This window comes from Homo sapiens, chromosome 20, assembly GCF_000001405.40.
Source record: "Homo sapiens chromosome 20, GRCh38.p14 Primary Assembly".
NCBI lineage: Eukaryota > Metazoa > Chordata > Mammalia > Primates > Hominidae > Homo > Homo sapiens.
The window spans coordinates 13,602,831-13,618,008 of record NC_000020.11 but is presented as its reverse complement, the minus strand read 5'-3'; the positions used below and the strand labels follow the sequence as shown (position 1 = coordinate 13,618,008).

Below are 15,178 nucleotides of genomic sequence, written 5' to 3'. Positions count from 1 at the left end.
ATATTCTCTTCCCTGGGCTCTATACTTCTGGCTGGAATTGTCTGTGTGCCTCAGGGGGATAGAAGAAACTTCTAAGGCCTGCCAGTCCTTGAAATGCCTAGTGGTCATGGAGATGGTGTGGCTTCCTGATGGCATATGGGCATACCTAGGATGGAAGGGGACATTGGGAAGGGCCGATAATTTCCCTTTTCACCTCACCAAACTTATAACAAGTTTTCTTGTGAGCAGATGCTTAACCACACCCTGCTCCCTACCCTACTTCAGTCAGTTGGTTTTTATTGCAGAAAAGGAGGGGCATCTGCTTTAAGGTCATTTTTGTTATTTGGGAAGTTTAAAATTATTTAAATAAACGAGCATCTCCAGTTTCCTGTACATTTTTATTTTTTGTAGAAATTATATTTTCATAAGCAGAGTGGTCCCTTGCTCTTTCCCCAGCGCCCCCTGCCCCCCAGTAGAGCTGACCACACTGGAAAGACAGCTTGATGCATTTAGCTCACATTTACGTAAGTGCTCATTAACTATGATGTGGCTGGTGAGTCTAATTTTAGACCTACCACCCTTGAAAATCTCATTTTTTTCTTCCATTGATAATATCTTTTATTCTCTGTAAGGGGAGTGGGATGTGTTTCTATGTATGTGAAGTAGAAGATTTACCTTTTTTCTTTTGTAGTACTTACAATGTTTTCATTGCATGAAATTTGAGTTTTGACCTTAGGTGCTCTTTTTTCCTGTTTTTTTTCTTTACTTGGTATTATTGATTATTTCAAAGACCCTATTTTGCCTGTCTGTTTAGCAGTATTCCCAGTGGTGCTTCAGTATTTCTGTGTATTCCAGCTGTTTATGGAGTCTTTATGTTTCTCTGCATTTTTTGTTTTATTTTTTGAGGTGTACACACACAGTTACACTTCATGGAGTTGCATCCAGCCAAGTATCCATGTCCTTCTTGTGAAGAGGCAGAGAAAATCACCTCTCCCAAGAATTTCCACCTTCTGAACAAGGGAAATGTATCCTGAAGAGCTGTACGCAGATGGGAGGCAACTTGTTTGCTTGTTCTGCTGCTAGAGCATTGATTTAATTAGAAGACAGGCTGTGGGTGGCCATGTGCAGACAAAGAAGCACCAGACAGAGCCCATTTAGCCTGGGACAGTAAAAGTAAGTTACACTCTTTTTAAAACACTTTTTTGAGTACTGATGCTGATTCTTGCCTTTAGTACTAAGGGGCAACTTGTAACTTACTGTTTGTGTTTACACATAGATACATCCGTTCTTTTTCTGAGACCCTAGAAATGACACATGCTCTCTAGCACAAAGTACCTGCTTAATGGAAAAGCAGTGATTTCTTCCCCAACTGCCCTTTTTTTTTTTTAAAGAATAAAAAGAAAACGGAATCAATGATTACATTCTAGATTAATTTTACATGGTAGCAAACCCGGTGTTAGCTTTTGACCAAGTCAAAACACTTAAGTATAGAGCTTATCATGCTTTTACTTTGTAGTAATGGGAACATGAAAAATGATTTTAGGCTTTTCCGGCCATTTCTTGATGAGGTATGTGGATCTCATCAGATATATTCATCCTGGCTGAATCTAGTAGAAGAGAGGGTCCAAGATCAGACCTAGCAGTTCCTGAGGAGCATGGAACTCTCTATGTATGCCCTTGTTTTTCTCTGGGAGTTGTTACTCTCAAAAATATACTTCATTTTGGAATTCAGTTTTGAGCTACCTAAAGCCATATATGGTAGCGTGGTGTAGTTAGTGGAAATCCTGTGTTTTGACTACGTGGAAACAATTTAGACTTTTGGATTTTTGAGTGTAAAATGTCTTCTAGTCCTATATTAATAGGAATATTACACAAAAGGGATTTAATTAGATTCATTGGTCCTAGGATTTATAGTGTTGTGATTTTTGAATGATTGTGTGTGTGTGTGTGTATGTGTATTTGTGTTTGTTTGGATCTGTGTCATTTGCGGCATCAGGTTTATACCTTAACATCTACTGTTTTTGTCTGTTTTGCTCTTGGTAATGAAGGATGTAGGCTAATAAGATTTTTCTATGTTTGGAAAATCACAGGCTGGTATGATGGTGTTTAATTTCAAAGACTACCTTTTGATTTTAAGTTTTTTTTCCATCTCTCAAACCCGCCCCTTTATTCAGAATCTGGAAAAGAATGAGGAAGAAACTTAAGTTACATAATTTTTAAGATTCTCGGCCTGGCACAGTTGCTCACACCTGTAATCCCAGCACTTTGGGAGGCCGAGACGGGCGGATCACGAGGTCAGGAGATCAAGACCATCCTGGCTAACACGGTGAAACCCCGTCTCTACTAAAAATACAAAAAATTAGCTGGGTGTAGTCCGGGTGCCTGTAGTCCCAGCTACTCGGGAGGCTGAGGCATGAGAATGGCATGAACCCAGGAGGTGGAGCTTGCAGTGAGCTGAGATTGTGCCACTGCACTCCAGCCTGGGTGACAGAGCAAGACTGTGTCTCAAAAAAAAAAAAAAAAAAAACCAGATTCTCATCAAGATTCTAAATCTTGCTCTCCTCTCTCTCTTTCTTTCATGTGTTCATTACCTAAGTGTTAGAATAATGAAGGATTGTACCTCACTATAGAAATCAGCTTAAAGCTGAATCTTAGACATTTGACAGAAGTTCTTTGGCCATTCCCATTGCCAGGTAGTTTTTACTGGCAGTCATTCTCACTCAGGGTCCAGCCTCCTGCATGGTGTACACATTTCCTGACAGTTCATGACACACATGTACTGTAACACAGGACATCAACACTATAACACATTCAGAGTGGGGAATTTATTTATGTTTCCCTTTTCTGGAGTATGTGCAAATGTAAGCAACGTTTTCTAGTGGGTTGGAAGTCTTTTTATTAAAAAAAGCTTAGTAGAGGACTTAAAAGTTACTAGTATCCCTCTTTCCTCTCCAGTTCTGACCATGTCATTTGATAAAAGGATGGTTTAAATTATTATAATTCCATGGTCTGTTAGGTTCTTCTTGAGTGATGTTTCCATATTATTGTCAATATGGTTAAAAGGTATAATTATTTAGGTTGAAGGGAAGTATAAGTGGCTGCCAAATTTGGTAGTACTGGAGAAACAGCTACATTTGTCTTTTCTGTTTTAGCTCATGTGGAAAGGACAATTTCAGGTACTGTGTGTGCTAACTAACCTCTTCCTGGACATCATAAAGAATCCAACTAAAACAAAGTTTAAAACTATTTCAAATGTGAAAGTTTATTGAAGCCAATATTCTATTTTAGAGATTTGTGTTATGTTTTTGACAAGTAACTGTACTGTAATTATGTGGCTTTCAATTAAAAAATGTGAAAACTGTTGTGATGTCATTTTTCTGCTTAATTATGTTGTATGTGCCCTTGTAAATTAGGCAGATTAGTAATAGAAAGGAGGTGAGTGCAGATGTGCAGTGCCTTTTTGTGAAAATATTTTAAATAATAAAAATATCTTGAGCTCATAGTGGGCAGTGCAAGAAAAAGTAAAGTTTCCATTTTTGGACAGAATATTTTATGTCAGATTAACAAATGCTCTAATGAACAAATATTAACATTGGTTCAATTTTTTCTGACATTTCCAGAAAAGCTTGGGCACTTAAAGAAGATCATAAAAAGCCTTAGTTTCTACTACGTATGTTGTTGTGTGAGGGTTTTTTTTTTTAAATGAAGTATGTTGTCTTTTGTAAATTGAATAGTTAAAAAAATGAACTGTCACAGATACTAAAACCTGGTATTCAACATACTATGTTTGACTCAAGTGTTCACAGAATGTGATGCAAACAAATGTTCTCTCAACTTACATCCAGGATAGCTAAAATATTACTTTAACACATGTTGAAAGTAGAGTGCTCTATTTGGCTAGATATAATTCCAGGCTGTCTAAGTTGAGTAATTTCCTCAGACATTCCAACTTTGATCAACTGCAGCAAGAACTTTTAGCATGTCTGTAAAGCAGCCAGTGCATCTGTAAATATGTCCTGAGATAGGGAGAAAAGAGAATGCCAAAAAAGAAAGAATACCTTGTTGTTTAGGAGCAGTTTACAGAACAAAAATGGAAAGTTTTTTGTTTCCTTAGGAACTTTTTTTTAAGATAATTGAACCTCTGATTTGCAAGTATGCCCTGAGGTTCTGTATTAATGAATGAAAGATACTTCATTTGGGCCTAATAAAAGTGTTTTGTGGCTAACTCTGCTGAAACTTATTGGTTAAAGTTCATTAATTCTTGAACTTTTTACTCTTTATAAATGTAATATTAATTGGCTGTAGCCAATTGGCTACAGCCTCAAACATAATAATATATAGCTCAGTAATGCATGTCTTAATTGTTTATAATTGGCCAGTATTTGGGTGAAAATGTTCATATGTGACTAAGAATAAGTCTAAGAACAGGCAGCATCACTACAGAAATAATCTCATGTGCCTTTTTTTCAATACATGGATGAAAATAGGCTTTCTGGCTTTAATTTTCAGTGACCCGAAAATGAATTTGCAAATATCTGCTAATTTTCCTATACAAGCATTGACTTAAGAGTGTTTATAATGGCAGATCACCCTCTGCTATATGGGAACTGCATGTTTTCTGTGTTTTCGGCACAACACGTTCATATTCACATGGATATATAACTTCCCTGGAAATATTTTAAGCTGTAGTTAGCAACTACTTGCAAACTGGATATTAAATTGGATGATAAGTCTAGCTTCTTTCTGACCTTGCTTTCTGTAGTCCCATGATAATAAATAATGTGACTTCCAATTAGCTGCAGTTATGAAAATTCTGCTTTTTAGATCAATACTATACCAAAACTTAGAAGGAATTATTAATCCTCTTGTGGCTTCTATGTTGCAGATCTCTATTATTGTCCATATTCTGTAATTATTTTGTCATGGAAAACAAGGTTAACACAGTTAAATTTATTACTAATAAAAAAAGTTTTGCCATAGTTTTACCTTCTTTTCATTGAGCATTTTTTCCAGAACTGAACAAAGTGCAGTATAATTGATAGATTTACATCCTTCAAACCCATCCTCTATATCCTAAAATAAGTGCAGAGAAATGGTGAATGGGCGTGCTGGGAGAGAAGATGGAGGGGCAAGTCCTGGATGTAGTAATTTTAATTTCTTGGGCAGGGTACTTGAACAGATATCTGAGTTGGTTATCTTGTTACTGTTTCTGTGTTTACCAGAGAATTTTTCTTCCGTAAACCCTGTCCATCTGAATGCCAGGATTTCTTCAAAATTTAATACTTATTTTATGTCATGTGCCTACTTTCTTGATCTTGAAGTCGTTAATGTTCATAGTGGGAATGGAAGAGTCAACTTTTCCCTATGTGGGGGCTGGTTATCTGATTTATAGATAGATTCTCATTATCCTATAATTATTTTACCTGATTATATCTTTGCCATTTTTGCATGTTACCTGAACATTATAGCCCCACCTCCCATGCGCTTCTGTGTATGGGGAATGTGTGTGTGTGTGTGTGTGTGTGTGTGTGTGTGTGTTTGCTACAAATTACTAGTTCTAAAAAGGTTATCATGTTTTGTCTTGATAGGCAGTTTACCACTGGGTAAAGTTGTAGATGAAGTTGTCTATACTAATGATATTTGAGAAAAATACCATGATATTTTATTAGTTTTCTGGTATTTGAGAAAAATACCATGACTTCCTGTGGACTCTGAGTAGAAAGCTCATCTGACTCGTTTTGGAGAAGGAAAAAGGTATTACAAATTTTATTTGTTATAATCAGAAGATATGCAGCATTTCTGACCACTAATCTGGCTCTTTTTAGTAAAGGTGAGTTGACACTTGGTAGACTGCAGTACAGGTTACTTCTGTATTGTTTCTTTAAGTAGCAAGAGGTAATTCAATATTTTAAATATTTAAGCATGATAATAAAATTTGTTGTTAGGACTGTCATTTGTGTCAAAGAGCTATTTTGCCTGAAACCTGTATTGTATGGAAAACTGAAGATTTACGCAAGCTTAGATTTTGCATCTGAAGAAGCTTGAGACCTTCTTAATCTTACAAAGTGATGTAGGCCAGAGATTGCAAAAGAGACATTTCACAGATGCGTGTTGATTGGCCCATAGACTAGCTTTTAAAAACTGGAATTTGTTGTCAACATGTAAAAATGAGGAGACTAATATAAGCATCTGGACTTCTAAATTATCTTGGCAAAAATGAGATCTGGCCACATGGAGCATGCATTCTCCCAGGGCTACAATCTCCCAGAGCTAAGTGACAGCTGGTTCTTTTGAGTGTAGGAGCTTTTGTAGCACTGTATATCATTTTAAGGTATAGCTGGAAATAAGTCTTGGACAGAGATTATTAGCTTTTGTCTTGTTGCAAGGGCCAGGGAAATGAATGTATGGTTTAATGGTCATTAATTTAATGGTCTAGAGGCTGCGAATTGTTGTAATAGGGATTTCTACCAAACTAATAGTAAAGCCGGAATGAGCTTTGATTTAATTTTTCAGAATAGGAATTGGACTTAAATATTAACTTTTATTTTGAAAATGAGCTTCAAATCAAACTAGACTTTTCAAAAAAATTCCTCATTGAAACAATTTGAACTAATACCAAAGTATATCACTCTAAAATTTTTGACCTGAAGCTAAAGCAGATCAAAAACCTCGGTGACCCAAATAAGGTTGAACCAAATTGTTTATTTACTTTTAGTCCCAGGAGTGAAATATTGTTTTTACTGTTTGTGATGAAGGAACGTACTGAAAGTCCAAGCATACTGCACTGATTTTCACACTTTGTCCTGATAACTTCCTAAAGGATATTTAGCTTCCAACATCATTTATCTTGATTGCATTACATCTTAATGGAAAACATAAGAAAAATTGCTGTTTTGTGGATAATATTTATGGCTGTCTTTGTGATGATTGCCCAGAAAGGTTTCTATGTCTATTTACCATTGACTGTCTCCCATTTTATTAACTTTTCTCCAGTCCATCTAATTTTTTTTCCAGGGTTGAATCCTAGCCCCAGAGTGGTTAGCTTTTGTAGCCTCTCATGGATCATTTGTAGCTTTTTTACTCCCAATATCCTCTGTGCTGTTGCAATAGATGCCTTTACAAGCCCCCTCCAGATGTGGTTCATGGAGAATATGAAGTTAAGCAGCTGACGGAGTTCATTTACACTGGAGTTTCTCAAGGTGAGGGCTGGATTAGAATTGTTGGAGGTAGCTTATTTTAAAAAATGATGATTCCCTAGCTTTCAACTCATGACCTGGACCAGAATCTTTGGGGATGAGAGTCTGGAATTTTAATTCTTTGACTCTTTAAAAAAAAAACTTTGTAAGTTAATTGTGGATACATGCAGGCATAAGAAATAATACTGAGAGATCCTTTGGACCCTTTAATTCACAATGGTAACAGTTTTTAAAAAATTTGCAATCTTATTTTGAAAATTTTATAGTTTCAAAGCTTTCTTGTGTGTATAGTATACATATGGAAAACTATACACATTTATTTTAAGGGGACAGCTTCATGAATTTTTTTCAGAGTGAACATGGCCGGCCTTGTGTCACTAGCACCCAGATCAGCAAACGGAACATTTCTGCCCTCCAGAAGGCCCCTTGTGCCCCCTTCAGTCACCTCAGGGTAACACTGGTCCTGACCTCTATTGCCATATATTAGTCTTGCCTGTTCTAGAACTTCATGTAAATGGAATCATATATTATGTATTCTTTTGTGTCTGCCTTTTTAAATTGAAGTGAAATTCTTAGAATACAAAATGAAGCATTTTAAAATGCATAATCCCATGGCATTAAAATGCTCACAGTGTTGTGCAACTACCACTTTCAGTTCCAAACATTTTTATCTCCCCAAAGGAAACCTCATACTCATCAAGCAGTTGCTCTTCATTCTTTTATCCTTTCCCCCTTGTGGACCACCCATCTGCTTTCTGTCCATGGATTTACCTCTTCTGGATATTTTATATTGATAGAATCATGCCATTTATGTGGCCTTTGCTGTCTGGCTTTTTTCGCTTAGAATAATGTTTTTAAAGTTTGTTCACAGTGTAGCATGTATCAGTACTTCATTTTTTGGAGGAGCAGTATTCAACATTATTCATGTATCTATCACAGTTTGTTTCATTCCAAATCCATTCATTCATTGATGGACATATGGGTTGTTTCTACCTTTTGGCTATTGTGCATAGTGTTGCTATGAATACTCTTGTATAGGTATTTGAGTAACTTTTTTCAGTTCTTTTGGGTATATACCTAGAAGTGAAATTGCTGGGTCATATGGTAATTAATTCTATGTTTAACTTTTTTTTTTTTTTTTTTTTTTGAGACAGAGTTTTGCGCTTGTTGCCCAGGCTGGAGCAATGGCGCCGTCTCAGCTCACTGCAACCTCCGCCTCCCAGGTTCAAGCTATTCTCCTGCCTCAGCCTCCCCAGTAGCTGGGATTATAGGCGCCCACCGCCATGCCCGACTAATTTTTAAAAATATTTTTAGTAGAGATGGGGTTTCACCATGTTGGCCAGGCTGATTTTGAACTCCTGACCTCGAGTGATCTGCCCTCCTTGGCCTCCCAAAGTGCTGGGATTACAGGTGTGAGCCACCGCGCTTGGCCTGTGTTTAACTTTTTGTTGAACCTTTTTCCATGGTAACTGAATGAACCCTTTTTGCATTTCCAGCAGCAATATGCAAGGTTATAATTTTTTCTACATCTTTGTTAGCACTTACTATTTTCTGTTTTTGTCGTCATAACTGTCCTTGTGGATGTGAAGTAAAATCTTTGTAGTTTTGGTTTTCATTTCGCTGATGATCATGATATTGGATATATTAATGTTCCTGTAGCCATTTGTGTATCTTTTTGGTAGAAATGTTTATTTGAGTCTGTTCAAGTTTTTTGCCCATTTTCAAATTGATTTTTTGGGTTGTTATTGAAATTTGGAGCTCTTTATATAGTCTAGATACTAGACTATCGTACTTTTCTATAAGTCTGAAATTATGTCCAAAAAAATGATAAATAAATTGTAACTACTGCTATAGTTTTCTTTTTAATAAAAGCCCTCTGACCATCCCCAGTACTCCTATTGCTTACCTGTTTTATTTTTTCACTCTCGTGTTTACTGCTATCTGACATGTTATCTAATGTATTTAATTTCTTATTGTTTGTCTCCCTTAGCTAGAATTGAGGCTCCATGTAGGTAAGAATGTTTTTCTGTTTCGTTCACTGCTATATCCCCGTGGTTTAGATCAAGGATTGGCCAACTATGGCCAGAAAGCCAAATCTGGCCAGATGCCTGGTTTTGAATGGCCTGCAAACTAAGAATGATTTTCACTTTTTTAAATGGTTGAAACAAAATCAAAAGAAGAATAATATTTCATGACACCAGAGAAGTATATGAAATTCATATCTCAGTATCCATAAATGAAGTTTTATTGGAACACAGCCATGCTTATTCATTTGTGTATTTTCTATTGCTGCTTTTGTGCTACAGTGGCAGAGCTCAGTAGTTGTAGCATTGTCTATGTGGCCCACGAGGCCTGAACTAGTTAATATATCTTGCCCTTTACAGAAAAGATTTGCCTGGTACAATGGTGTCCAATAAATATTTGTTGAATTAATGACTCTTAACCTGTGCTACCACAGAGGAATCTAAATTGGAAATCTTTTAACCATCCAATTCTTGAAAATTTGAGCTTAATTGGCAACTAAACAAAAAAAAATTCCCCAAATGATTTTTTCAGTCAGTAATACAGTTTCATTGGCTTCCATTCATCCTGTAAATGAAAACTGATGTTGGGATACCAGAAAATTAGTAATTCTTAGAATAGTGCTAGCTAAGATAGGCATATTGTACAAGTTTTACTAGTGTTAGTTTGAAAAAGAGTATAATGACATGGAGTACATATCCTGTTTTTGTAACTCTTTTAAAAAGATGCAAGAAAGTTCATTTCGAAAGCTTTTTCCCCACCTTTCTCAGCTTTAGAAGGTTAAAGGTATCTGCTTATCAATGAAGTTAGTAATTAAAATGATTTTTCTTTTTTTTTGAGACAGAGTCTTGCTCTGTCGCCCAGCTGGAGTACGCAGTGGTACAGTCTTGGCTCACTAAAGCCTTTGCCTCCCAGGTTCAAGGTTCAAGTGATTCTCCTGCTTCAGCCTTCTGAGTAGCTGAGATTACAGGCACCTGCCATCACGCCTGGCTAATTTTTGTATTTTTAGTGGAAATGGCATTTCATCATGTTGGCCGGGCTGGTCACAAACTCAATTAAAATGATTTTGATAGGACATTCAATTTTCAACAAGAGTTATATATTCTACTTTATTTCATGTATCTAATGATGTGTTTGTTGAATTTGCACTTGAGCGACAGAGTGTGAGTACTAACATATTAGTAATTTCCTGTTAATGTCTGACTTCTCGTTAAAGGAAGATTGGAAATTGGACAAACATAAATCATTTTATATAAAAATGATTTTATAATGTGCCAGTCTAGTTTTTGTACAATATTTGAAAACTAAATTGTTTGCATCTGTAAGAGCTGTTAATAGAGGTCTCATAATAGATCCTCAGAGATGCAGTATACCCTGGAGCCTTGCAAACAGTTCTTATATTATTTTATGCCTTCAGCAAAGGACATTAAATGGGTAATACAAGTTGTGGTTTATAGTGAAAGAGTAATACTTTGCAGATCTTTGCCTTGGCTTGGGGTTCCAAAATTTCATTAATAGGAAAGGGTTTCCATGTCGTGGTGGGAGAGTAGCTCCTGACTTGCCTGTTGGCCTTTCTGCCCTCTCTTTGCTGGGTTGGTTAGTCAAAGGGCATCTCACTTCTTAAAGCCATGTCTCCTTGAAAAGTTATGAATAAGTTTAAAATATATTTTGGTTTTAGAATTCCATTTTTTAGAAACAGAAAATACTGTTGCCTAAGTTTGTTTAATTTCTCTTGTTTTAATCTTGAAAAGATTAGATTCTTAGCACTCCACTACATTTTCCTGACATTTCTCTATAGGAGCAACCTGTAAGAATTAATAAGTATCAGCTTGCTTAAGGGGTTATAGCTCACAATAATTACTCTGTTTATATCTAGTTATAATTAACTGCTGTTCATTCATTCTGCAAATACTTATTGATTACCTACCTGCCATGTGCCAGGCATTGCCTTACATATTGGGATATAGCACCTAAAGAGACAAATTCTTTTTTTTTTTTTTTTTTTGAGACGGAGTCTCGCTCAGTCGCCCAGGCTGGAGTGCAGTGGCGTGATCTCGGCTCACTGCAAGCTCCGCCTCCTGGGTTCACGCCATTCTACTGCCTTAGCCTCCCGAGTAGCTGGGACTACAGGCGCCCACTACCACGCCCAGCTAATTTTTTGTATTTTTAGTAGATACGGGGTTTCACCGTGTTAGTCAGGATGGTCTCGATCTCCTGACCTCGTGATCTGCCCACTTTAGCCTCCCAAAGTGCTGGGATTACAGGTGTGAGCCACCGCGTCCAGCCTAAAAAGACAAATTCTTATATTTAAGGGTCTTACATTCTATTTGGAGGGGTAGACAAACAAAAATTATGTATACTGTCAGGTAGCGGAAAGTGCCATAAAGAAAAATAAAATAGAGATAAGAGAATGTTGGGAATGGCTGGGGAAATGCTATTCTAGATGAGTCAGTAAGGGGAGCACTCTCTGATAAAGCTGACTTTTGAACAGAGACATGAATGAAATGGGGGAGAAAGCCATGTGAAGATGTTGGGGAAGGGAGTTCTTGTTCAGAGAGAAAAGTACCCACTGTCCCTTCATATTCCACTTCATTCTTCTTTATAATACTAATCACTGTGGGACCTCAGGTATTTATACATACATGTAATGCATCTACACACACACACACACACACGCACGCACACACATGCAGTCTATATTTATGGGCCCTCTTCTTTCACTAGAAATCTCTCACCAAACTCAGCATCTCAAAGGAATGAATGAATAATAGATGCAACAGCCCTGAGGTAGGGGCTTTCTTGATGTGCTCAGAATCGCAGTGTGGGCTGGAGTGTGGTAAGAGAGAAGAATGCGGAGAGTAAGTTGGAAGAGGGAGGGAAGGGTCAGATCATGTAGGGCCTTGTAAATGTTGAAAATTAGGACTTTGGATTTTATTCTAAGTGTGCTAGGAAACCATTGTAGGTTTATGAACAGAGGAGTGACAGAGTCTGACAGATTTTAAAAGGAGCACTGGCTACTTACTGGACATGATTATTAATTACGCAAAATGAGTTACATCAGAAGATCAGATGACCGCTTAAAAAGTTTATGTATATTATTTTAAATTATTTAAATTTATTATTATTTTTTTTTAGAGAAAGGTCTCACTCTGTTGCCCAGGCTGGAGCGCAGTGGTGCAATCATAGCTTACTGCAGCTTAGAGCTCCTGAGCTCAAGCAGTCTCCCTGATCTCCCTCCCGAGCAGCTGGGACTACAGGCATGCACCACCATGCCCAGCTATTTAAAAAAAAATTTTTGGAGAGATGGGGTCCTACTGTGGTGCCCAGGCTGGTCTCAAACCGCCGACCTTGAGTGATCCTCCTGTCTCAGCCTCCAAAAGTGATTTTATTATTTATAAGGGGCAAGTTAGTATATAGGCTGATTAGTTTATGTCAAGTAATAGGTATACTACTTTTTTGTCAGCTTTATTGGAGTATAATTTACATGCAACAAAATTGATCAATGTAAAGTGTACAATTTGATGGGTTTCGACAAATATATACAATTGTGTAACCACCAGTACAATCATGATGTATAACATTTCCATTACTCTCAAATTTCCCTCATACCTATCCACAGTGAATCCTCTCCCTCAGTGGCCCCTGGCAACCATTATCTGCTTTTTGTCACTATAGTTCAGTCTTTTCTAGATTTTATTCTAAATAGAATTATAGAACTTGTGATCTTTTGTGACTGGCTTCTTTAACTCACGTAATGCTTTTGAGATTCACCCATATTGTTGGGTGTATAAGAAATACATATATATATATATATATATATATATGTATTATGTCTTTATGTAGACTTTATGTGAATTTATGTGAACATATGCTTTCATTTCTCACAGATAAAATTCTTAGGAATAGAATTGCTGAGTCTGTGGTGAGTGTATGGTTAACTTTAAAGAAAACTGCTAAACAATTTGCCATTTGTGTTCTCACTAGCAACATATATAATTCATTCAGATTTCCACAGATCTGCAGTTTTGCCAATACTTAGTTTTGTCAATCTTTTAAATTTTAGTCATTTTAGTGGTTATATAATGGTATCTGGTGGTTTTAATTTGCATTTCCCTAATGGCTACTGTTAATGAAAAAATTATTTATGACCCGTGTGAAAGGTGGTAAGGCAGACTTTATTCAAGGGAGGAACTATTGTGATAGCTGTAGGAACCACTGCTGTATTAGTTGCTTTCGCATTGCTATAAAGGAATACCTGAGGCTGGATAATTTATAAAGAAAAGAGGTTTATTTGGCTCTTGGCTCTGCAGGCTATACAAGCATGACACCAGCATCAGCTCAGCTTCTGGTGAGACCTCAGGAAGTTTAAAATAATGGTAGGAGACAAAGGAGGAGTCGGTATATCACATGGTGAGAGAGGGAGCAAGAAAGAGAGGGAAGAGGTGGCAGGCTCTTTTAAACAACCAGATCTCACATGGACTCATACAGTGAAAACTTACTAATTACTGTGAGAACAGCACCAAGCCATTCTATGAAGTATCCGCCCCCATGACCCAGATACCTCCTACTAGGCCCACCTCCAACGTTGGAGGTCACATTTCAGTACGAGATTTGAAGGAGACAAAACATCCAGACCATGTCAACTGCTATGGGATTTTGCAGTGAGGGAGAGAGATTGGGTTCAACTCTGAATACAGCATGGACAAGTGACAATTTATAGCTAAAAAACTGGGTAGGAGTCAGTGGATGGAAAATTACTAACAGGAAACATCACAGGTAAGGGGAGATTCTAGCTAAATCGGCCTAACAGAATTCTTGCTGGAGACAGACCACAGTGATCAGATGTCACTTGGGGGATGGTGGAGAATGAGGAATCTGATTAAATATTGAGGGTGACCAGATATCAAGGGTGGGAGTATCTTGTTAGACTGATTTAGCAAGATTCTTATTAAAATTGAACAGTACAGAGATAAACATGGAAGTCCAAAAGTCTAGCCCAGTTGAAAAGTAGTTCAGGGAAATTTGAATAGAGTTTGATCAATAAGAGACATTTTATGGCTAATGATGCTAAGCATGTTTTCATGTGTTATTTGCAATCTATATAAAACTGTTTGCCCCTTAAAAACTTTGGATTGTCTTACTGCGTTATGTATGGATTTTTAAAAATAAATTCTGGATAGAAGTCCGTTAAGAGATAATATGTTTTATAAAATTTCTCCCAGACTGTGGTTTGATTTTTCTTTAATAAACTTATTTATTTTTATTTTTTTGAGACAGGATCTTGTTGTGTTTCCCAAGCTGGAGAGTGGTGGCATGATCATGGCTCACTGCAGCCTCCACCTCCTAGGCTCAATCGATCCTCCCACCTCAGCCTCCAGGGTAGCTGGGACTACATGCGTGTACCACCATGCTTGGCAAATTTTTGTATTTTTTTTTTGTAGAGACTGAGTTTCACCATTTTTCTCAGGCTGGTCTTGAACTGCCGGATTCAAGCTGTCTGCCCACCTTGGCTTCCCAGAGTGTTAGGATTACAGGTGTGAGTCACCCTGCCTGGCCCATTTTTCTTTTTTCTTTTTTTCTTGAGATGGAGTCTTAATTTATCTCCCAGGCTAGAGTGCAGTGGTGTGATCTCAGCTCACTGCAGCCTCCACCCTCCGGGTTCAAGCGATTCTCTAGCCTCAGTCTCCAGAGTAGCTGAGATTACAGATGCACGCCACCATGCCCAGCTGCTTTTTGTATTTTTAGTAGAGATGGGGTTTTACCATGTTGACCAGGCTGGTCTTGAACTCCTGACCTCAGGTGATCCACCTGCCTCGGCCTCCCAAAGTGTTGGGATTACAGACATGAGCCACCATGCCTGGCCCCATTTTTCTTTAATAAACTTATTTTAGAACAGTTTAAAGATTTACAAAACAATTGTGAAGATATTTTAGAGCAGGGGTCCGTAACCCTAGGGCCTCAGACTGGTATCAGTCTGTGGC

The 15,178-nt window shown here is 37.4% G+C and overlaps 1 protein-coding gene across 22 annotated transcripts in view; it reads left to right on the top strand.

Moving 5' to 3' along the window:
• TASP1 (taspase 1) overlaps positions 1-15,178 on the top strand; it is a 534,161-nt gene that overhangs the window by 20,924 nt on the left and 498,059 nt on the right. For 3 of the 22 annotated variants that reach the window (NR_136630.2, NR_136631.2, NM_001323603.2), the window contains exon 5: positions 886-1,152. The exons of 17 other annotated variants lie outside the window; for them this stretch is intronic. The gene's annotated coding sequence lies outside the window, so the exon portion shown is untranslated. Of the gene's footprint in view, positions 1-885; positions 1,153-7,089; positions 7,179-15,178 lie in introns of those variants that run through there. 2 more of the 22 variants (XM_047440274.1, XM_047440273.1) reach the window with 2 other exon arrangements.